General features: G+C 40.1%; 1 protein-coding gene and 1 long non-coding RNA gene across 2 annotated transcripts in view; one reads left to right on the top strand and one right to left on the bottom strand.

The window, feature by feature from the left end:
• Window positions 1-820: 820 nt before the first annotated feature.
• Window positions 821-24,879, bottom strand: part of LOC105373910 (uncharacterized) — a 39,168-nt gene continuing 15,109 nt past the window's right edge. The window contains exon 3 of the long non-coding RNA XR_923956.2: window positions 821-972. This is a non-coding gene — a long non-coding RNA (uncharacterized LOC105373910). The remainder of the gene's footprint in view (window positions 973-24,879) is intronic.
• CCDC195 (coiled-coil domain containing 195) lies at window positions 2,219-14,820 on the top strand. The gene is made up of 3 exons (NM_001395236.1): window positions 2,219-2,453; window positions 8,365-8,611; window positions 14,697-14,820. The coding sequence occupies exons 1-3, from the start codon at window positions 2,219-2,221 to the stop codon at window positions 14,818-14,820; spliced, it is 606 nt and encodes a 201-aa protein (NP_001382165.1).

The following is a 24,879-nucleotide window of genomic DNA, read 5'->3' as shown; positions in this document are numbered from 1 at the left end:
TTTTTATTAAAGCAAAGATTAGACATATTGCATAATGTCTCCAAAGAGAAGAGCTAAGAACGAGCTGAACGGAGACCAATTTTTGGTCAATGGAAATAATTTTAGTTAAAAAGCAACACAAATAAATGATAAATGCTTGAGGTGGTGGATACACCAGTTACCCTGATTTGCTCATTATACATTGTGTGCTTTATCAAAATATCACATGGGGGCCAGGCACGGTGGCTCACGCCTGTAATCCCAGCACTTTGGGAGGCTGAGGCGGGCGGATCACGAGGTCAGGAGATCCAGACCATCCTGGCTAACACAGTGAAACCCTGTCTGTACTAAAAATACAAAAAAAATAGCCAGGCGTGGTGGCCGGCGCCTGTAGTCCCAGCTACTCAGGAGGCTGAGGCAGGAGAATGGCGTGAACCCGGGAGGCGGGGCTTGCAGTGAGCCGAGATCGCACCACTGCACTCCAGCCTGGGCGACAGAGCGAGACTCCGTCTCAAAAAAAAGAAAAAAATCACATGTACCCCAAAAATGTGTACAACTGTTATGCATCAATAATAATTAAAAATAAAAATAATTTAAAGAATATCTGATGAGGTGGGCACAATTCTAAGGGGCACAGTACAGATAATTATTGAGTATGTAAACTCCTGAGTCACATTGCCTGCATTTAGTATCCCTGACCTAGGCCAAGTGTCTTCAACTTTCTATGCCCATTTCCTTTGCTGTAAAATGGGGATGATAATACTGCCTATCTCGTTTATGAGTAAATTTTCTCAAAAAGAAAATCGCAGGAAGGAAACTCTCCTACAAAAGAAATACTCACATATAGGGTCAATGATCCATTGCAGAGATACTGTGGAACAGATCTGAACATCCAGTAGGTGGTGAGATTGGATGACCTTTCCAGTCCCATTTTGCTCCATAGTCCATATTTCTACAAGCTACTTCTACAGCCTCTGGAGTGGCACATGTTTACTGAAATTCATTTAAATACAAATATAAATAGTATATGAAAATGCTCTCATCATTTTTATATACTGACTTTTTAGTGAACATAAAATTCAAACATATAAAATAAATTTGTATGAATAAAAAAGGAGTAATACTTTCTTCAATCATTCCTTCCATCTAAACAGCCTTGGATCAATCAACACATATGTATTAGGATGGGCAAATACACACACATACACACATACACGGGCACACGCAAAGAAAACAAAAATGAATGTGAAAGAAAATCTATCCCCATAAAAAGTTTTCTAATTATTTTCACCGTATTGCAAAAGATCATTTATGTTTAAACATTAATTGAATTTCCAAACAGATATTGCTATCAGGGCATATGCTATTTAAGATTTGTACTTTTCATTCCCCCACAAAGAAACCTCTTCAGGAAATAGGTAACAAAAGCTGTTATTGTCACATGTCTCTCTCATTCAAGATTAATGTTTAGCCTGTATCTTCTTACATTCCCAAAATACCCCTGGCAGCCTTTGCCCAGGCAAACATCCTAGAAGTAAATAATGGCAAAATGTTTCTAAGATAGAAATTTACTGAGGAGTGATAATATCTGTCCTTCCTTGGCCTATCTTGAGGGATTTAGGTATTAATTACCAACGTCATATTTAAATAATATCCCTGCAGTTCATATGACCCCTTGTGATTAATGTTACCCTTCCTTAGTAAGTGTCAAAATTAATAATTTACCAAAAAATGCAGAACTATGGCACATTAGACAGAGAAGACATGGCATAATTCTTCTATGTCCATTTTGATGCACTTGTGGCAGCTGGTGATCCTGAGATACATTTGATCCCAGAAGTGGCAATAGAGAAAAGACTGAGTGGCTGTTGTGATGGTAAGTTCATGATGGAAACAAGAAACTGTTCTTCACTGGAAATTTGTGGAGTGTTCTCTTCTCCTCCCACACAAAGCAATATTCTAGAACTGTGGATTGACATGAAATGAAAGATAGAAAGAAAATCTCTGTTTTGAAAAACAAAACCCAGAATGAATACTTCATGGAAGATCTTTTACCTCCCTTGACAGCCTAACCCCCCAGGTGCTGAAAGATGGCGCAGAGAAGAGTGACAGCTATTGTTTGGAAAGGTTTATGAGCAGGATCAGCCAGACCCACTGAGTAGATTGTGTTTTGGGCTCATGAGGAAAAGTCCACCTGTCTCTCCCAAAGAAGCCAACTAGAGCAACATGAGAAGAGACAATGGAAGCTGATATCCAGCTCATGAGACTTATCCAGGAAATGCGGGCAGAGATCCACAAACTGGAGAAAGAGAATCAAGCCCTCCGGATGAAACTCACTGCAAGTAGTCAGAGAGCCTCAGGCTCAGGGAGAGAATCAGGAGACGAAAGGGAGGAGGAAGCGCCAGGACAATCTCCAGCAACCCTTCAGGGTGCCGTTTCCACTGATGCAGCACCAGCAGTGCAGGAACACCAAGGTACCCAAACATTCTGAGCTCTTGTGGGCTGTGCCCATTTTGCAAATATCGTGAAATAGTTAAGTGTATTGTGCTGATCAGATAACTGTATAGTTTGGTAATAACGGTGGTGGGTTTCATCCCTTTCCTCCTAGTAGATTACCTGTGAATCCCTAGACAAAAATGGCTTTAGCATCTTCAAGCAACACATTATAGCAACACTAAAATTACTTCCATATTTGCTGGGAAAGATAAGAGAGACAGGTTTGTGGAAATCAGTCACACTAGGAACAATGTGGTCTTTTTCCTCTTTAACTTCAGCCATTTAAATGCTGCATAATAGCACATTGAATGTGTGTATGTCAAATGGCACGCACACTTATAAGGCTGGAACAGTACTGCACACCAGATAAGGGAATGGATGTCAAAGTCAACAAATATGGTTGCCAATTGACCACTTCAGCCACTTGACTCTAAGCCAGTGATTAGACCTCTTTAATCTTTGTTTTCTTCATCTGGAAGTGTTATAGTACCTATCTCACAAGGTTGTGAGGATTAACTACAGTAATATGAACTAAATGCTTAGTATTGCACCTGGCCAAGGCACAACAAATGGCAGATACTATTTCCTATCCATGTTTTACTAATAACTTTATTGTCCTGTATGAATGAATACTGCACATAATTCAGCCTGCTATGCAGATTGAAGACTTCAAGATACAGAGTCGATGTTTGATATATTCTAAAAATCAAATCTCTCACATTTTATGAGAAATATTTTGACTGTGAAGATTACACATGGGGTCAGAAATCAGCAGAGTGAGAAATATACTCTACATTAAAATTGTCAATACCTGCCTACACACACCATATTGAAAGAAAATAATTCATATACATAATTAAATACTCAAAACTCTTAAAATCATCTGTCAAAAGCTTCAGGCACTGCCAATTAGAAGCACTTTGGGAAGCCAAGGTGGATGGGTGATGAGGTCAAGAGATTGAGACCTTCCTGGCCAACATGGTGAAACCCTGTCTCTACTAAAAATACAAAAATTAGTCAGGCGTGGTGGCGCACACCTGTAATCTCAGCTACTGGGGAGGCTGAGGCAGGAGAATCACTTGAACCTGGGAGGCGGAGGTTGTAGTGAGCTGAGATCTTGCCACTGCACTCCAGCCTGGCAACAGAGTGAGACTCCATCTCAAAAAGAAAAAAAGGAAAAAAAAAGAAGCTCTGAACAGGTTGACAATGGAACAGGTCATATTTGCCGGTTGGTTCTCGCAGTTAGAGATGTGTCTCTCTAATGAGACCCTATATTTGAAAGCTGAAAACAGATTCCAATCCAGGTCTTTTTCCTTTTTCATAAGTACAACTCTGGATTGAGTAACTGTCTACTGGTTATTTAATAAAACTGTGAAAGAGTAACCTATAGGAGGTTAGACATTCTCTTGCTGGAAAAAAAAAAGGATGTGGACATTTATAATATTTGCTTAGTTGAGGGTTTCTCAACCTCTGTATTACTGACATTTGAGACTGAATAATTACTGTGGAGGTCATCTCGAGCATGGTAGGGTGTTTAGCAGCTTCCCTGGCCTCTAACCACTAGATGCTGGAGTACTCACACTTCCCCTTCCAGTTATGACCATCAATAATGTCTCCAGGCATTGCCAAATGTTGCCTTGGGAACAAAATCGCACCCCATCCACCATTGAAAACCACCGCCTTGCTCCAAAAATAAACAATACTTCAAGTCTATTCTCTGTGGGACTTATCCTAACAGAAAAGTAAGTTGCATCTTAGAACTAACTGTCCTATTTTAAAACATGTATTAACACAGTTCAAAGAACAGAGTATTGCCCTTTAAATTCTCAGGGTCTAAACATCATCAAGCTTAGAGGAGGTTAGAACATATTCATAAGAGTTAAACGCATAATTGATATCATACTTCTTCAGCATATGGGTGGTAATTTCCAATAAGAATGTTAGCATTAACTTTGAAAAGGATTGGTGAGGCCAAGCATGGTGGCTCATGCCTGTAATCCCAGCGCTTTGGGAGGCGAAGGCAGGAGGATCACTTAAGGACAGGAGTTCGAGATTGGCCTAGGCATCATAGTGAGACCGCCATCTCTACAAAGAAAAGAAAAGAATAGAAAAGAAAAGAAAAGAAAAGGATTAGCCAGGAAAAAATTAGCCAGGCATGATGGCATACATCTATAGACTGAGCTACTTGAGAGCTTGAGAGGCTGAGATGGGAGGATTCCTTTGAGGCTGCAGTGAGCTAAGGGTGCACCACTGTACTCCAGCCTGGGTGACAAGAGTGACCTTGTCTCAAAAAAAAAAAAAAAAATACTGGTGAAAAATATTTGATAAAATTGTAGGAAACCTTGCTTATTGCACAAATAAAACACAGAAAGAAATGTGATTTAGATTTGCACTTGGGAGTCCTGTTGAGTTACTTTAAATGATGTTTATCTGTTTCTTAAATGTTATGTGCTATTATAATAGCAAGTAATGTAAGTAGGAAGAACATTGTCCTGAGCATGAAGACACCTGGATTGAATTCCTAGTTGTTCAACACTGGGCAGGTCACATAAACTTTCTGATCTTAGCATCCTCATGTAAAAATAAGTGGATTGGGCTAAATGTCTTCCAAGTCCTATTCCAACTGCAAAATCCTGTGATTCTATGAATACAGAGTGATGTAGAGCTTTTTATGATCACTCTCTTCATCTGTAAAATGGAGGTAATGATGGAATCTACCTCACAGGGCTGTTGAGAGGAGTAAAGATAGTGTAAGTAAGATTCAATGTAAATTACTAAGTAATAGTTGTCATAATATCATTGGACATGTCAGAAAAATATTATTATTTGACTTGAGCATAAGTTTTTATCAGTAGTTTTAATAGTAATTGCCAACATCAATTGAAATTCATACTTACAATTAATTGAATCATAGAAATCTGTTACTAGAAAGGAACGTTAGAGGCCAGGCACAGTGGCTCACTCCTGAAATCTCAGCACTTTGGGAGGCCAAGGTGGGTGGATCACGAGGTCAGGAGATCGAGACCATCCTGGCTAACATGGTGAAACCCCGTCTCTACTAAAAATACAAAAATTAGCTGGGCGTGGTGGCACGTGCCTGTAGTCCTAGCTACTCGGGAGGTTGAGGCAGGAGAACCGCTTGAACCCGGGAGGCGGAAGTTGCAGTGAGCTGAGATTGCACCACTGCACTCTGGCCTGGGCAACAGTGCAAGACTCCATCAAAAAGGAAGGAGGGAAGGAAGGAAGGAAGGAAGGGAGGGAGGGAAGAGATCATCCAGTAGAAATTTCCTTATTTGCAGTTGAAAATATAAGCCTCATAGAGATTATCTTACCCAACTTCTCCAATCCTTTTTTGGAAACAAAAATACATAAACCTATTCTTTCAGAAAGAATAATGTGAAATCAGAAATATGAGTCTCACTTTAAGAAAGGGAATAATTAAAGAGGACCTGGAAGTGGATCACTTAGAGCTAAAAGTTCCTCCGTGTGTTCCTTGGTATGTGTGGTGAGATAAAGTGAGGCTCTCTGTGAATGGAGAACCCTACTTCCCCTGAAGTCACCCGAGGACGCAGAGCTACGCTACAGCCCAGACACAGCTGTGTGGTGATAAAATATACTGAGAATGCAGAGTGCCTGCTCGGAATGAATCCTTGCTGGGTAAATGCTCATGGAAACATCTGTAATAGTGCACAAATATTTGGTAGATATGAAATCTAGCCAGTGCTTTCAGAGATGTTTCCCGGCCCCTCTTGCCCTGTGGAACCTTGAAGCAATTTGCCGCTGTAAAGATAAAAGAAACAACCCTTTACAGCATTGCTGGACCTCTGATTCTCTGCTCACATCCTTTGCTGGCAAATAAACTGCATTTGGCTGTGATCTTTGAAAATGTTCTAATGAGCCTGTGATGCTGTGTTGAATATCTTTTTTGTTAATAAGAAACTGAAGGACACAGACCCTTTGTGACCCATGGAGATGAACAATAAGCCTATATGCTAATCACTCCCAAATTAACTGTAGGTCCCAAGTAAAAACAAACGTAATTTTGCTATCATCAGCATAATTTCCTGTTGTGTTTTCCTACGATTCAGTATCAAGGGATTGTTTTATAATCCTTCTAAACAAAAACGTTTATGTTTGTAAGTAGTCACAGATCTGTTTTTAGATAATTATGGAAGTTACATATCATGACCAAGGGGAGCATTTAAAGATAATTTATGAATAATATTTGTAGTTAATCACTTCAAACAGATTTGAACTTAAACTCTCCCTAGACCTCTCCTACAATTCAGTCTTCTGTTCTACAAAAAGCCGAAACAGCCTCCACCTTTTGAAATAACCATAATGATTTTCTGTCTGCTTTTTCCAGAAGCAGTCAGCAAACATAAATAAAAAATAATTGTGCTTCTGGCACTCTCAAAGCCTACCCATAATGCAGTGGTTTTTTTACGCTTTCATGCTCGTTCATGGCAAAGCTGCAGTAAGAAAGAATGAAGATTCCACAATCACTCATAAAGTGCTCCAGAAAATGAAAACCAACCCATGAGATCAGTGTTGTAAGCCACATGGACAACACTGGACATGCAAGTAGATGTTGGATAATCACCAGACCTCCAAGTAGAGGTTAAATGACCAGCTCCAGATCACAGAGTTAATGCAGTGTAAGAGCTGGCGTTCAGACATACCAAGAGCCTCTAAAATAAAGCCCTTTTAATCAACATGTTTTCATTATTAAAAAAAAAAAAAAAAACAGGGAAGATTTGATTTACCTCAAGGAAAGAGTTTATTGGGAGACTCTATGAATAGAAACTGAATTGGAAGTCCCTGGAAACTAAAGCCACAAATCTCTCCATCTCTTTCAGGGGCTCTCCAATTTCCCACACCATGCATCTTTGCTCTTTGCCATGTGTCTCCTTTGCGTTTGTCTCTCACTCAATAGACATCCTCTTAACGACTGTCCCAACTAAGGCCAAGACATGCAATCATAGGCCAGTTAGCAACAACCTGTTAAATTCCTGTGGCCATTCAGGTGATCAGACACTGTGGATAAGCCTGTTCTTCTAGAATCAGGAGTAAGAAGGCCATCAAGAATTGGCATGTCTGGGAGATTCATGTTCTCCCAATTTTAAGGTCTATTTTTATTATCTATGTATGTCAAGCCCCTGTTCTAATGCTGTATTCTCAGAAAGGTCTTCCCTGGCCACACAATTGAAATAGCCTCCGAACACCTTCCTGCATCTGTCTCTATCCCCTTGTCCTCATCAGCCTTATTTGCCTTCCTAGAATGTATTACTATGTGAATTCTATCATCTATTGTTTACTGTCTGTCTTCCACATAAGAAGGTGAACTCTGGAATTTTATGTTGTTCTCTACCACATTCCCATCTTTTAAAAAAGATCCTGGCATATGGTTGGCACTCAATTAATATTTGTAAAATAAATCAATGAATGCTTTTTGTTTATTTGATTGTTTGAGACGAAGTTTCCCTCTTGTCACCCAGGCTGGAGTGCAGTGGCATGATCTTGGCTCACTGCAACCTCTGCCTCCCGGATTCAAGCAATTCTCCTGCCTCAACCTCCTGAGTAGCTGGGACTACAGGTGCCCGCCACCACGCCTGGCTAATTTCTGTATTTTTAGTAGATACAGGGTTTCATATTGGCCAGGATGGTCACCATCGCCTGACCTTGTGATCCACCCACCTTGGCCTCCCAAAGTGCTGGGATTACAGGTGTGAGCCACCGCGCCAGGCCAAATGGATATCTTTTATGCCAAAAAAGTAATGAGAAACAATAGTTCTGTCTAGTTAGTTTCAATAAAATTCTATCATTTTTCATTTGTGAGTGTCATTAGGGTAGAATTTTTTTAAGTTGGATTTTGTGTCTTTTGTACAGGCAATGTCATGATTGTTAGACGCTATTCCATTTCATCATCAGTTTGCTCATCTGCTGTAAATGATCCCTGGAAATCTGGGAAAAGTCACCCAAAGAGCGGAATTCTAGAAGGTCAGAGAACACTGAAGTCATTGGCATGTTCTCCAATTAAGAAGCAAGACATGGAAGAAAAGGTGTTTGCCACAGATTCTCTCACCAGCAATAGGACCAGCCAAAGAGCTTCTCCTGAGCATGTTTGTGGTTGCAGGTAATGTAAAATACACTTCAAGCTGGTGAATAGGCCCATACTGAGATGGTTACTGAGACTTTCCCCTGGATAAATGAAGTCTTATCTAGTGGAGGAAACAAAACCAAATAGCATATAAATAATTTCCATATTACCTATGTCAATTTTGGGAATTTAAAGTAACAAATTTATTTGAGGTTAAATGGCACCCTCTAATAGATGCCTCTAACAACTGGACAACTTAGTACTCATTTATTCATTAAGCATTAGTGATCATATTCTAAGCCAGGCACTGGTGATACAAGATTCAGCAAAAGTAAGCCATTACATTCAAAACTCTCATTAAGTGACAAAGGCACACAAGTAAACTATCTACTGCAATAAAGTGCATCTCAGGGAGTAGGCACAGTTACTTTAAGAGCTGAATGCAGAACACCTCTCAGAGAACAGCTGTTCTGGTGGAGGCAGGTGCCTTAGTGGGCGTTAGGGGAAATTGTTTTAAAAAATTATTTAGGCATAACTCATAAGGGCCAAGAGACAAAGAGAAAACCAATTTGCTCTCCAAAATATGTGAATTGGTATTTAGAGAGCTGGAACAGCCTGAGAATGGGAGGGATGTGAGACAACAGTCAAGAAAGCACTTTGGGATGCCGAGGCGGGCTGGATCACTTGAGGTCAGGAGTTCAAGGCCAGCCTGGCCAACATAGCAAAACCCTGTCTCTACTAAAAATACAAAAATTAGCCAGGCATGGTGGCCTGCGCCTGTAGCCTCAGCTACTTGGGAGTCTGAGGCAGGAGAATCACTTGAACCTGGGAGGCAGAGGTTGCAGTGAGCCGAGATAGTACCACTGCACTCCAGCCTGGGGGACAGAGTGAGACTCCATCTCAAAAAAAAAAAAAAAAAAAAGACAAAAGAAAGGAAAAGAAAGAAAAGAAAAAGAAAAAGAAGCCAGGGTCTGTTAGAGGAAACTTGGCCAGTGGCTCCTGAAGTGGTAGAGTCAAGTCCTCTAACATCAAGCCTAATTTATCTGCACAACTGTGCAGGAGCATGCACTGCCCCCTCTCTCCCACACTCTGCATCCCTACCTTCCAACTCCCAATGAGGCCCTAACTCTTCAGCAAGATCTCTACTTGTCTTTGTCTTGTGTGAGTAGAAGGAGGAAAATCAAGAGGAGGGGACCTGGGTCTCATGATTATTAGCTTATCACGGGAAAGAGAAAATGCAAAAAATATGATTGTTGAGAGACCCAGAGCACCATCGAACTCAGCAGTGGCAGGAAAGCAAATCAAGAGATAACCATAAGCAAGAGGCCTGTAGGAATTCTCATAAATATTGGAAAGGGCACTGGACTTCCCACAGGATGTGGGATACAAAGGTTGAATCAGCTTTATTTGGATTTCCAAAGACAGGATGAAAATTGTGTTTCCCTTGCAGAAGGTTCTATCATAGGAGCAGGGAGATTAACTGGAGTCACCAAGGACTACTAGATTTAGCCAAAGAAAAATGGAAAGGTCATCCCAGGTAGAACGAAACAGACATGAGGATAGAAGAAGCCATGCCACTGAGAGAAACTAAAAGTAGTAAAATAAATGAGGATGGAGAAGTGAGAAGGATTCATCATTAAAGGCCACTCGTGGAATGCTAAGGAATATATGCTTTATCGTGAAATTATTGGAAAGCCAGAATAAATGTCTTATGAAAACTTCCAAAATATTCTGTAAATATTTTCCAAAATATTTCTGTAAATATTCAGAAATTAATGTTACATGCACCAATAGATTCAAAAAGTTTTATCATATTTGCTTCAGATGCTTTTATATGTAAAAGAAATAAAATGTGGCTAGGTGCGGTGGCTCAAGCCTGTAATTCCAGCACTTTTGGAGGCTGAGGTGGGCAAATCCCTTGAGCCCAGGAGTTCGAGACCAGCCTGGGCAACATAGTGAGACCTTGCCTCTAAGAAGGAAGGAAGGAAGGAAGGAAGAAAGGAAGGAAGGGAGGGAGGGAGGGAGGGAGGGAGGGAAGAAGGGAGGGAGGGAGGTAAAGAGAAGAAAAGAAAAGAAGAAAGGAAGGAAGAAAGAAAAGGAAGGAAGGAAGGAGAGAAAGAAAGAAAGTTACCAATAAAGAAAGTCTTATATAACTTTTCCTTTGTCCTCCCAGGGGCAAATGTCATCATGAGTTTAGTTTTTATTTTTTCAGTCTAGGTTTTTATACTTTTATTACATTCATTCATTCAATAAATATATCCTGAGGGTGTGCTGCATGTTGGGCAGGATTCTCTGCCTTGCAGATACAGCAGGAAACCGAATTGTCAAAAACCCCTGCCCATGTGGAGCTTATTTCTTTGCAACATGATAATCAGTAAACATGCAAATATATGAAGTGTATATTATGTTAGACGGTGTTAAGTACCAAAGCAAAAAATAAAGTGAATAAAGAAGGGTTAGAGGAGCATAATGAAATGTTTGATACCATGGCCAAAGAATGCCTTTCCATCTGAATAAAGAAGGGAGAGAGAGAGTGAGTCCTGATCAAGGCTAAAGAGAGAACTCTCTAGGCATTGAGAAGAGCAAATGCAGAAGCCCTGGGTAGGAGCATTACCAGTGTGTTCAAGGATAGGCCAGGAGCCTGGTGTGACAAGTGAGCAAGCTGGTGTGCAGAAGGACAGGTAGGCAGAGAGCCAAGGGTGGCCTTCTACCCGATTCCAGTGACTCTGGATTTATTGTAAATAAATTTGTGTGGATAACATGTTCTTTTCATTTTGTAAAAAGTTCTTGGGTTGGAAACCCTATTGTGAAAAATTTTAAGAGAACAATATCGAAAACAAGGAGACCAGACTGAAGGCTATAAAATAATCTAGGCAAGAGGGGATCATTTCTTTGCCAAGCGTGCTAACAGTGGACATGATTTCTAGATGTGCATCAAAGGTGGAGCCAACAAGATTTATTTATAGATCAAATGTGGGATATGGAAACAAGAAATGAATACTCAATCATTGGGTTCCATTGGTCATGTGTCTTCAAAGAAGGAAAACAGAAGAATGGCAGAGATATGTCCTTTTCCTTAAAAAAAAAAGTGCGCGTGTGTGTATATATATATATATATACACACAGACACACATACATATATATATATCCAGTTCTATAGCAGCACTAAATGTTTATCATAAAAAAAGTTACAGCCAGGTGTCGGTCGCGGTGGCTCATGCCTGTAATCCCAGCACTTTGGGAGGCTGAGGTGGGCAGATAACCTGAGGTCAGGAGTTCGAGACCAGCCTGACCAACATGGTGAAACCCCATCTCTACTAAAATACAAAAATTAGCCAGGCGTGGTGGTGGGCACCTGTATTCTCAGCTACTTGGGAGGCTGAGGCAGGAGAATCGCTTGAACCTGGGAGGCACAGTTTGCAGTGAACCGAGATCACGCCATTGCACTCCAGCCTGGCAACACAGCGAGACTCTGTCTCAAAAAAAAAAAAAAAAAAAAGTTACAGCCAGGCACAGTGGCTCATACCTGTAATCCCAGCACTCTGGGAGGCCAAGGTGAACAGATCACCTGAGGCCAAGAGTTCAAGACCAGCCTGACCAATATGGTGAAACCCCATCTCTACTAAAAATACAAAACTTAGCCAGGTGTGGCGGTGTATGCCTGTAGTCCCAGCTACTTGGGAGGCTGAGACAGAGAATTGCTTGAACCTGGGAGGCGGAGGTTGCAGTGAGCCGACATTGGGCCACTGCACTCCAGCCTGGGTGACAGAGTGAGACTCTGTCTCAAAAAAAAAAAAAAAAAAAAAAAAAAAAAAAAAAGTTACAAAATATAGAGGCAATATACAAAGTAAAAATGTTTAAAAACAAAACTCTTCATAATCCCACTACCTGAATAACTACCATTGAGATGGATAGCTTGTGTTCACATATGTTGAAATTATACAGTGTATATATCATAATGTTTTACTTTTTGCACTTAAACCATTCTCACAGACATACAATGCTGAGAATTATAGTACTATTAGTTTTTCCATTTCAATTTATATTATTTTCTATGATAGTATGGGAACCTAACCAACATTTATGAGGTATTATTTTTCTAAAGTAAAATGTTTTCCAACTTCCAAGCTGCCAACTAATGAACTATTTAGAATACAACCCATTTCTAATGTAAAAGTTAATTTGAAAGATTGAGCCAATTGCAAGGTTGTATTAAAGGAAGAAAGCCAGTATTGGCTTAAAATCAACAACTGGATTGGCATGAAATCCACTAGAACTATTGAGTAGGAATTGAGCATTTTTTTTATTGTAGTCCTTTTTAAATGTGTCTTTTATATTCTCAGGAATTAACTAGTAAAGTAAAATGTCATTATATTATTCCTCTGATTATTTGGGAAATTAATTTCCTCACTAATAGCTTTCAAAGCATTTTACAAATATTTATCAAGAACCAATTTGTTTGCACTGACTTTTGAATCATATCAGACATCATAACCAATTTGCTTGTGAACTTTTCCATTATTATACCACGAAAATATTTTACAAAATAATGCCAATGTCAATATTTCTAAGAATCAAAGCTTTCCAGAAACTAAAAACAGGATTTTAATTTTTTCTTAATTTTGACAGAGAAATTCAATCTTTTCTTCCTGTGTTTTAGAAAAACAAATTTCAGTTGACAAGCTTAGGGACAAGGGCCCATATAAACAGTTAAAATTAGAAATGCTATGTTATTCAGTTTACTGATAGGGTAAACCAGATTCATTACAATAAATATATTCTCTCCTTTTCCAAATCCAGAAAGAAGTTTAAGGAGGCAGCTTCCAGAATCAGATGGCCAAAATTCCACCTCCATCATCATTTACAAACAATGTGGCCTTGGAGAAAGTTACTAGATTGTCCTGTGTCACAGTTTACTCTTCTGTAAAAAGGGAATCTTAAAGGCAGATACCTCATAGTTTTTGTGAAGAGTAAATGAGGTGGTTGAGTGACCGCTCACCAAGTGGCAGTGGTTGTTATTATTTTATTGATTCCAGTGCTTGGAAGCACTGGCCTGCCTACCTCCCAAAAGAGGGTGCAGCTGGCCTGGCTGGGAATGGTGGCTCATGCCTGAAATCCCAGCATTTCGGGAGGTCAAGGCAGGCAGATCACTTGAAGTCAAGAGTTCAAGACGAGCCTGGCCAACATGGCGAAAACTCGTCTCTACTAAAAACACAAAAATTAGCCAGCATGGTGACGTGCACCTGTAATCCCAGCTACTGGGGAGGCTGAGGCAGAAGAATAGCTTGAACCTGGGAAGAGGAGGTTGCACTGAGCTGAGATCATGCCACTGCATTCCAGCCTGGGCGACAGAATGAGACTCTGTCTCAAAAAAAAAAAAAGAAAAAAAAAAAAAAAAGAAAAGAAAAGAAAAAAAAAAGGTGCAGCTGTGTTTTCTGAGACGCAGGCCACCAAATGTCATTCAGTGAAATTACAGCCTTATCTACCCTCTTTGTTCCCACAAAAGAGAACAAAAATGAAGAAAAGGCAGTCATTTTAAACACTGTTTAGATTTATTCCTAAGAGCAGTTTCTCCTGGTTAATGTCTAAATTCTATGTAATATTTTAGAGGTAAAAGGAGAAGTAGGCAAAATGAAAAGATATAATCCCTCAGATAGCATGGGGCTATTGCTCTTACCCCCTTTACTCTTCAGGCATGATGTGTATTCAGTTAATTCACAGTCAAAAGGAGCAGATTTATCTGGACTATAAAATAATTGCCTCAAGTTTCTGCTTCATTTCATGAGCTGAAGATTTGACGCAAGAGACTTTTGCCTAAGAATGAGATATTCTTCCACTTTGAACATCAAACTAATAATCATTCCTCAGCCATATAGTCTCTCCCTCAGTAGTTTTAAGTTTTTGTTTTATCCACACTATTCCTTGGGTTTAATGAAAAGGTCATTCCAATATATATCCTTACATCATTGTTGAACAACTTAACAAAAAATATCATGATATATTTTTAAGTGAACTTTTAACACTGTAGGTAGTATCTGGTGATTGGGGGGAAAAATCATCAATGTTCTATATAAAGTCTCACTAAAAAGTCTTTTTCTTCCCTTTATTTTGCTTCCTGTAGGGACAAGACAAAGGCAGTCAGTTTCCTGTTACCCATGGACATGTCTTCATATTCCAAAAATTCAAGTTCTTTGAAACACTCACCAAATCAGGCCACAAACCAGCTAAGTATCATTGCAGAATAGGATATGTGAAGTGATTAAATGTAAGAAACAGTTGATTCTCAAGAGATGGCAGCACCAAGGTCTAGCTGGGTCAGTGTCTTTCCCTATAAAGAAGTCTGGCAAGATGTCCAGTAAGACACACAAAATATTTGGTATTGGGTCCATAGACCTGTTTGGCCAAGGAGTGGAAGCAATTATTTTTTGTCATTGCTGAGCACTAATGACTGGTATGTGTGCAGTGGCTATTGTAGACTATATGACATGTGAGTAATTAAATGTGATTATATGCTAAGTGTCAGTGTCTGTACTATGCCATCAAGAAATGCTTCTGTTCACTTTCCAGATGAAGCTAGAACAAGCCTAGAAAAAAAGTTCTGGTTTTGATTAGTGGCATAAAAGCAACTATCCTTTGTTTTCTGTGACATAAGTGTGATTCTCCTTTTAGTTCACTGTGTGTTGATATTTCACTGACACTAGCTCATTTGTTCTTTAAGAGCCTGTGTCACAGGCGTGTGAGCTCAAACACAGCAACATCCATAGTTTACATTGTGGACTCAGAGCAATTGTGAGCTGACTAAGGGCAAGCACACTAAACCTGATTGGAAGGAGAGAAAAAATGGTTCTGCTCATCACTACTCAAGGAATGGAAGTTCTCACAACTCCCCCAATTCCTGAACTTCTAGTTAACAGAATAGCTCCTCTTCCTGTTTATAGCAATTGAGTTTCTGATACAAATACCCTTCTTAAACAAAGATCGTATTGTATTAGAATATCCAGATTATTAAAATGCAGATTCCTGGGCCTCACCCCAGACCTATTAGATTGATTGGGGGAGCTGGGGAAGGCAGAAAGAAGAAGTGAAATTCACGTTTTAAATGAGCTTTCCAAGGTGACTCCCGCCATACAGCTGTGCTTGTGATCTACTGTTGTAAATACCAAGAAACATGGTCCAGGACCCTCTGATCCTGCACCAAGTAGAAGCAGTGAAGCAAAGAAAGGATAGGAATGGTTCATACCATTTCTAAGAATAAATTGTAATAGTCACAGGCTTCTAGAAAAGACAGAAATAAAGCAACCAACACCCTGTGGTAAAAGTCATGTAATAAAATTAAATGCTTCTTTTATTTATGGCATTCATTGAATATTAACAAGATTCCTAACATTATAACAGATATACAATAGGGCAAGGTTACAACTGGAGGGGAAAGATGCAAACTGGATGTGAAAATACACTCCTCTGGGAATAAAGACCCACACTGAGTAGATAATTAAGCTATTACCCATGAGATAGTTGGCATTTTTAGTTTATGCACAATTATATTCTTTGCATATCTATAAAATTGGGAATTTCACCTTAACCTCAGTTAAAAAGAAACATTCCCCAAACAGTAAAACTTTTTTAAAGCAATACATGACAACTATGCAAGTTGTAATGTCGTAACTGGCCAAGCTAATATGACAAATATCCCCAACACTAAGCTCAATGAGTATGTAACTGACATTTGATCCATGTTCGATGAGCTGAACAGTTACATGAATCTATCAGTTTCCAGTAAAAAAAACCACCACACTATAAAATGTTAAGCTTTAAAATTAAATCATTTAACATAGGATTAAAGAAATAGGCCAGGTGCGGTGGCTCACGCCTGTAATCCCAGAACTTTGGGAGACCGAGGCAGGTGGATCATGAGGTCAGGAGATCAAGACCATCCTGGCTAACACGGTGAAACCCCGTCTCTACTAAAAACACAAAAAATTAGCCAGGCGTGGTGGCGTGCGCCTGTAGTCCCAGCTACTCAGGAGGCTGAGGCAGGAGAATGGCATGAACCCGGGAGGCGGAGCTTGCAGTGAGCTGAGATCACGCCACTGCACTCCAGCCTGGGTGACACAGCAAGACTCTGTCTCAAAAAAAAAAAAAAAAGAAAGAAAAAGAAACAACGCTCTATCTCTGTTCCCCGGCTGGATATAGTGCTTAATAATAAGCCCTTGGAGCATATTTTTAAACATAATGAATTACAAAGAACATGAAATGCATCTTGGTCATGCTCTGATCAACTAGTTATGTTTGTCTTCTTCTACGCCCAAAACTTCCACTGGTATGTATGAAACTAAGTCAGGAACTCAAATGCCTAGCAGTGACAGGAAAGTAACAACAATGAGTGAAGATTCTGGAGAGCAGACATGTATATGCTCCATCTAAGAAGAGCCACTGTTACCCACCTTCATAGTGCCATATGGCAAAGCAGACATAGTATTGCCATATGGCCTATTTTTCAAGATACATTAATATCTGGGTTTTTATGCAAAATTTCCTGATTCATAAATATTGGCAATGTGCTCAGTTTTTTAAACACTGTGAAAACCAAACACAATGTATCTAGGGGCCAGATCTAGCCCCTAGCACAAGGGTCCCCAACATTTTTGGCACCAGGGACCAGTTTCATGGAAGACAATTTTTCTATGGATGGCGGAGACAGGCAGAGGGGTTGGTTTGGGGATGAAATTGTTCCATCTCAGATCATCAGACATTAGATTCTCATAAGGAGCATGCAGCCTAGATCCCTTACATTTGCACTTCCAGTGGTCCTATGAGAATCTAATGCTGCTGCTGATCTGACAGGAGGCGGAGCTTAGGCAGTAATGTTCACTCACCTGCTGCTCACCTCCTGCTGTGCAGTCAGGTTCCTAAAAGGCCACGGACCAGTACCAGTCAGTGGCCTAGAGGTTGGGGACCCCTGCCCTAAGATACCAGATTTTGATCTCTGACTTAAACGCAATTTCCTAAACATAGAGATCCAGAACAAGAAAGGGGATGTGGAAAGTTACACTTTGGAAAATGAAAAAGGGAAGAGGAAGTCTGAGGATGGGAAAAGAGAATAAGAGGGTCGTATAAGAAGTGACATCTACGTGGATAAAAAGGCTAAAGTTCCACATCTTCACGAAAATGTAGCCTAACCCAGAGTCAAGACATATTTGCCACAGAACTAAAACATAATGTTAGAAAGTATGAGCATATTTTGTTTTAAAACTTTTTTCAAAATATATTTTTGTCTACTTTATGGTTTTCACTTGTACAGTTATCTTGCAAGGAAAACAATACATAAACAAAAACAATCACTCTGGCAGATTTTTCTTCTTCTTCTTTTTTTTTTTTTTTTTGAGACAGTCTCACGCTATCACCCAGACTGGAGTGCAGTGGCACAATCTCAGCTCACTGCAACCTCCGCCTCCCAGGTTCAAGTGATTCTCCTGCCTCAGCCTCCCAAGTAGCTGGGGTTACAGGTGCCCACTACCACACCCAGCTAATTTTTGTATTTTTAGTGGGGTTTTGCCATGTTGGCCAGGCTAGTTTAGAACTCCTGACCTCAGGTGAACCACCGACCTCGGCCTCCCAAAGTGCTGGGATTACCGGCATGAGCCACCATGCCCAGCTGATTTTTCTTCCTTTTGATGGGGAAAGGAGATTCCAAAATCAAAAAATCATAAAATATTCCTGCAAAATTCTAGTTCCAGGCCATAATTTCATAGACTAAGAATAGCTCACGGTGGTTGTGCCACTAACTTGACATGGTTAGTTTGTAGCACAGCCAAAACTGGAGCTTATATTTCCTGATTCCTTCTGTAAGAGTTCCATGCTGTCCCCTAAATGTATGACACTAAGTGAGTTATCAAATTTAAATGTTTGTAATTTGAGGCATTCTCAAAAGTGAAGATGATCTCAATGTTCTCAGTGTTTGGGGTGGTTGTATTCGTTTGTTTTCACATTGCTATAAAGAAATACCTGACTATGTAATTTATAAAGGAAAGAGGTTTAATTGACTCACAGTTCCACATGGCTGGGGAGGCCTCAGGCAACCTACAATCATGGCAGAAGGTGAAGGGGAAGCAAAGACCTTCTTCACATGGCGGCAGGAGAGAAAAGTGAAGGAGGAACTTCCAAACACTTATAAAACCATCAGCTCTCAAGAGAACTCACTCACTATCATGAGAACAACAGAGGGGAAACTGCCCCCATGATCCAATCACTGCCCTCCTTCAACTAGTGGGAATTACAGGTCCCTCCCTTGACACGTGGGGATTATAATTCGAGATGAGATTCGGGTGGGGACACAGAGCCAAACCATATCAGGGGTATTTAAAGATCAAATAAGATCATGAAGGTCAATATGTTGCATAAAGCACTAAATAAATGCAAGATACTGTTATTTTGTTCCATTCAAAACATAGACTCCCAACATATGCCTAATTTAAGTCAAGGTGTTAAACTGATAAAATTTAGATATGAAATTTCTAGCTGTTGTTTTTTTCTAGCTTTTGATTTTCTCTAGGTTGAACTGAAGAGTGATCAGCTAATAGTTGGACAGCAAGACACTTCCCTAGTGCTGGGTCAAGAGCTTCACCTGTAAAGAAGAGTAAGATAGAAAAGAAAAAGACAAAGAAGAAGGGGGAGGAAGACTCCATGATGAACTCTTGATGGTCAAAAACACTACCAATAATGGTACAAATTAATAATCCTGTGGGAGATGAAAACTAGGGGTTAGCAAATACATCCAACTATTTATTGTCAAGTACAACACTGTCTGCCACCGCTATCTGCTTTCATAAATATGGCCTCCAGCAAATTTCCTTGAACAAATGAGCATACTGATACAAAGGAAGCCTAAACAATGTGTTCAGGACTAACTGGCAAGCTCTGGCAATTTTTCTAGCACCCCAGTTCTGTCTGTTCTCATTGCCTTGAGCTACAGCTGCTCTCTACAGTTAGAACCTACAATAAACTTAACCAGAGACAGCTGTGTACAGGGAAAATGTGAAACATAATGGAGTTCATTTTATTTCTAGGTCCAAATTCTAGTTTATCCTCTAGAAAATAAATCTTTGTAACCTCTAAGAATCCTGGAAGGCACAAACATTGAGCTTGATAGTTTTAGCCACCAAAATTAAAGGCAAAATACAGTAGTACCTGCTGATTATGGAAAACACCATTCACAGAACTTAAAGGACAATAAAACCATCTGGGGAAGAAAAGGTATGTTATTCCAGTCAACAATCTTCAATCATATTCCTTTCTCAAGAGACTTGAGTTCTGCCACCTGCTGCAATACTTAATTTTTAAATATCAATGCAGGAGAATGTTCATTTAATCAAGCTATGTTTTTAAAAGCATATTAACAGCATTTGGAATGACCTGGATGAGATTAGAGACTATTATTCTAAGTGAAGTAACTCAGGAATGGAAATCCAAACATCATATGTTCTCACTGATATGTGGGAGCTAAGCTATGAGGACACAAAGGCATAAGAATGATAAAATAGACTTTAGGGACTTGGGGGGAAGAGTGGGAGGAGGCAAGGGACAAAAGACAACAAATATGGTGCAGTGTACACTGCTCGGGTGATGGGTGCACCAGGATGTCACAAATCTCCACTAAAGAGCTTACTCATGTAACCAAATACCACCTGTACCCCAATAACTTATGGAAAAATAAAATTTTTCAAAAAGCATATATAGTTGGAGAATATGCTTTTTCATACAAGAATGAATAAAAGACCTGTTTTGGCTTTTTTTATTGTTTCTATCTTTAACATTAGTGCTGCCAGACAGTCAAAATATTTCATGACTACAATCATCTGCTAACAATTCCTTTTCTAAAAAGTGACACAAGAAAGACTGAGTTAATCCAATCTCATACATACACATTTAATAGTTTGGCATGATTAAAACTACCTTAAAAATTGAACTGGAAACCCCATTCACCCTCAACTCAGAGAAAGATTAAACTTGTTCCCATCTGGGTTTTCCTAAAAGGTAATTCTCTGTGGAAGTCAGATTTTCAGTCAGGAAATAGCAGCTCTTTCTTCCTTTTTCTTTCACTAGAATATCTCCTCTTTCAGTCACTTCAGAATTCTTATACTGGGTATGTTTCTATCTAAGAACCAATGAAAAGTCTGTACCTAACAATGCTAAATTCATCCTGTCATTTGCTCAATGCCCTTTTGGGAAAACCACGTACACATTCACTTTTGTTAAGAGCATCCCAAGAAACAGAGCAACCCTCTTCTTTAAGGAACACAGTTATCACTCATGGTTTCACTCATTCATGAAGATTGTCCCCAGTTCTACTCAGAATTAATTCTCAAGCCCACACACTTCTTTCTTCCTCTTCTTCCCTGGCCTTGAGGAGTTTTAATTTATACACAGTTACCTCCAACCAGGAACTCACTGCTGATGGAAAGATGACGGAACAACCAAGACTTGCTAAGAAGGAGAAAACTTCACTCTCCAAAATATCCAGAAGACCCTTTGATTTTGAAGCACATTTTGTCCAACAAATCCAGTTATTTAATATAAAAGAGCATTCAGCATTGCAGAGTAGGAAGGTGAGTAAATAACCCAGAAGCAGATAAGTCTTTGGTTCAGTTGTTACACCATTTAATATACTAGAAAGTGTAATTTGCTCAATGGCTCATGGTCACATGTAACAGTTAAATGGGCACACAAGAAGTAAACGAATCACTCCCTTCTTAATTACATCATCTTATCTACTATGTGGATGATATTACACTGTCCACCCAAACTGTGACCCTTTTCATCTCTGCCATGACCTTTAGTTATAGGCCTGACTGGATTAATTATGTGAGAACTTGTCACTACATCATCACACATAGAATCTTCTTTTTCTCTTTTTTTTTCTTTTTTTTTTTTTTTTTGAGACGGAGTCTCGCTCTATCGCCCAGGCTGGAGTGCAGTGGCACGATCTCGGCTCACTGCAAGCTCTGCTTCCTGGGTTCACACCATTCTCCTGCCTCAGCCTCCTGAGTAACTGGGACTACAGGCTCCTGCCACTACGCCCAGCTAATTTTTTGTATTTTTTTTTTTTTTTTTTTTTAGTAGAGACAGGGTTTCACTGTGTTAGCCAGATGGTCTCCATCTCCTGACCTCGTGGTCCACCCACCTCGGCCGCCCAAAGTGCTGGGATTACAGGCATGAGCCACCGTGCTCGGCCCTTTTTCTGTTAGAACAGGAACTCCCCTCATATCAAATCTGCTCTCTGAAACCAACTAATTCAAGTGTTCCTCCCAAATACTTGCTCCTTCCCTTCCACAAGTGCTTTACACTTTTAGAGCTGCATTGATGATTAGTCCAAATCCCAAGAATTTAGCATTTAAAGAACCTCTTCAAGAAACTCTTCTAAGAAAAACTAGCTCTCTGAACACTGGAGCTCCATGACCAGAAAGTACCTCAACCCTCCCAGCTTTCTCTTCTCAATCTCTGAAACTTCACATAAAGCTGCGGTTCTCAATCTTGGCTGCAAAATAAAACAAATTGGGGAGAACTAAAAAAATCCCACTGCCCAGGCTGTAACCAAGACAACTTACATCAGCATCCCTTGGGGTGGAGCTTGGCATCAGTGTCCTTTAAAGTTCCCCTTCACCCACTATGATGCCAATGTACACGCAGGCTGAGAATCACTCTTGTAAAGCTGAGGGGTTACTAACATCAGCCCTGCTTGTTATCCATCTTAAAGCAGGAAGTGCATAGGCCTTGAAATCAGACGGTCCTGGGCTCTAACACCTACACACCCATGTGACCTTAAGCAACATGACCTGGCCTCTTTAAGTCTCGCCCTCTCATCTGTTAAGAGGAGATATACTGACATTCTCTGACATAAAAATTTAATGAGGTAAATGATGCAAAGCACTTACTATGATATACTTAGTTCCCAGTAAGCACTCAAGAAATAGTAGTAATAGTCCAGGCGTGGTGGTTCACGCCTGTAATCCCAGCACTTTGGGAGGCCAAGGCGGGCAGATCACGAGGTCAGGAGATTGAGACCATCCTGGCTAACACGGTGAAACCCTGTCTCTACTAAAAATACAAAAAATTAGCCAGGTATGGTAGCACACACCTATAGTCCCAGCTACTCGGGAGGCTGAGGCAGGAGAATCGCTTGAACCTGGGAGGCAGAGGTTGCAGTGAGCCAGGATCGCACCATTGCACTCCAGCCTGGGCGACAGAGCGAGACTCCGTCCCAAAAAAAAAAAAGGAAAAAGAAAAGAAATAGTAGTAGTAGTAGTAGTAGTAGTAGTAGTAGTAGCAGTAGTAGTAATAGTAATAGTAGCAGTAGTAGTAATAGTATTAGTAGTAGTAATAGTAGTAGTAGTAGTAGAAGCAGTAGTATTAACATTGTATATAAGACATGGTTTTTGCCTTCAAAGAAAATTAAAGTGGGCGTTCATTTTGATCCCACATCCTGCAAGGGAGTTAGTGGCAGAACTTGTCCCAGAAACCCCATGTCCTGACTCATGGTCCGATGCCCTTCCCGTGGCATCACACTTCGGCCCTCAGTGAATTCAGCCCTCGTGTTACTGTTCAGTGGCTGCAGAAGATGTATGCAGTACATGAGAATGAACATGGCCCCAAAGTTCCTTCCCATAAGAAATATTGTTATAAATTTATGCTGTAAATATAACACTTAAGAATTTATTTTTGTGTTTGTTTGTTTGAAGACTGGAGCAACTTCAAAAGGTTTCAATTAACTCCAAGCCATTTCTCATCAGTTGCATTCCTACTGCAAAGGACCTCCCCAAGACAGCAGTGTCAATTATAGAGCCACTGAACTGCAGTGGAAATCTTGGTAGAGTAGCAACCACCCTTGTGAAGATTTCCAACCCAATCCCTACACATGCTCCCCCATGCTGGCGAACCATGGCATCATTTTGCTGCTGCCAGGGCCCAGAGCAAAACTGTGTAATTAACTGAATAAGCTGATAAATTGAACAGGTTAATGAAATCTATATTAGAGAACAAAAATTACTCTGAGAAAGTATTGCTTATTGGCAAATAAGTATATTTGGTCATTTTAGAAGGAGGTTTGCATTCAGAGCTTTCCAAAGAAGATTACAGGCCTTTAAAGCAACGGGTATTTTCATAACTACTCACTGATAAGTACTTGGACTGAATTTTGCTTGGAATCCTATGACTCTTTATGCAAGATTCTTTATTAACTGTGTCTTCAAATACTCAATATACCTCTTCTCAAAAAACACTCCAGTTAGATTACCCTGTATGCCAACTCTTATCTTTATCAAACGTGACAAGAATAGTCAGAGATTCAAAGGTCACTTGCCTGTTCAACATTATGTCTCAACATCTATACAACCCTTTGCAATGTCTCCTTTAGTTATCCTGATTTGCAGTTCAATATAAAGAATGGAGGACACACGGGACAAAATATATTCTACTGTTATGATAAAGTGTTACTTATTACTGTAAATAAACACAACGCCCATTCCCCCTTCCTGACTGGTGACACGTGAGATGTGATGCTTGGAACCAGGCAGCAATCATGTCACCATGAGGAAATTAGTCTGAAAACAAAAGCAAAAACCACACTGAGGATGTCAAAGAGAAAACTGTTAAAGAACCTGGGATTTTAAATATGTCATTGAGCTGCTGAATTCACTAACCCATAAAAACATCCTACCTCCTACCATCACTCTGATGTTCTCTGGGAAATCTTCATCAGTTTTCTGTTGTTGTTACAACAAATCACCACAAACTTAGTGGCATAAAGCCATACATATGTGTTATCTTACAGTTCTGGAGGCCAGATGTCCTGAAATCAAGGTGTCTTCAGGGCTGTGTTGCTTCTGGAAGCTTCAGGAGAGAATCTGTTTCCTTGCCCTTGCCAGCTTCTAAAGGCTGCCTGCGGTCCTTGGCTCATGGCTCCTACCTCTATCTTTAAGCCAGCAACATAACATCTTCAAATCTCAATCTCTATCTCTCTCTCTCTCACACACACACACACACACACACACATACACACACAAACACACACACACACACACACACACGCTTCCATCATTACATCTTCTCTGACTCTGACTCCTTTATCTCCCTCTTTGACTTACAAGGATCTTTGTGATTGCATCAGGCCCACTCAGATCACCCAGGATAGTCTTCCCATCTCAAGAGCCTTAGCTTGATCACATTTGTAAAATTCTCTTGCCTTGGAAGGTGACATAGACACAGGTTTCAGGGATTAGGACATGGACACCTTTGAGTGGGGAAGGGGG

This window comes from Homo sapiens, chromosome 2, assembly GCF_000001405.40.
Source record: "Homo sapiens chromosome 2, GRCh38.p14 Primary Assembly".
Lineage (NCBI taxonomy): Eukaryota > Metazoa > Chordata > Mammalia > Primates > Hominidae > Homo > Homo sapiens.
Note: the sequence above shows the minus strand (reverse complement) of the source record. Positions and strands in the feature narration are given on the sequence as shown.

Excerpts from the sequence above, each read along its gene's own strand:
- CCDC195 (NM_001395236.1), top strand. The coding sequence starts at position 2,219 with ATGGAAGCTGATATCCAGCTCATGAGACTTATCCAGGAAATGCGGGCA. Across the intron at positions 2,454-8,364 it reads AGCAGTGCAGGAACACCAAG|GCAATGTCATGATTGTTAGA; the intron begins GTACCCAAACAT and ends TCTTTTGTACAG. Across the intron at positions 8,612-14,696 it reads GAGCATGTTTGTGGTTGCAG|GGACAAGACAAAGGCAGTCA; the intron begins GTAATGTAAAAT and ends TGCTTCCTGTAG.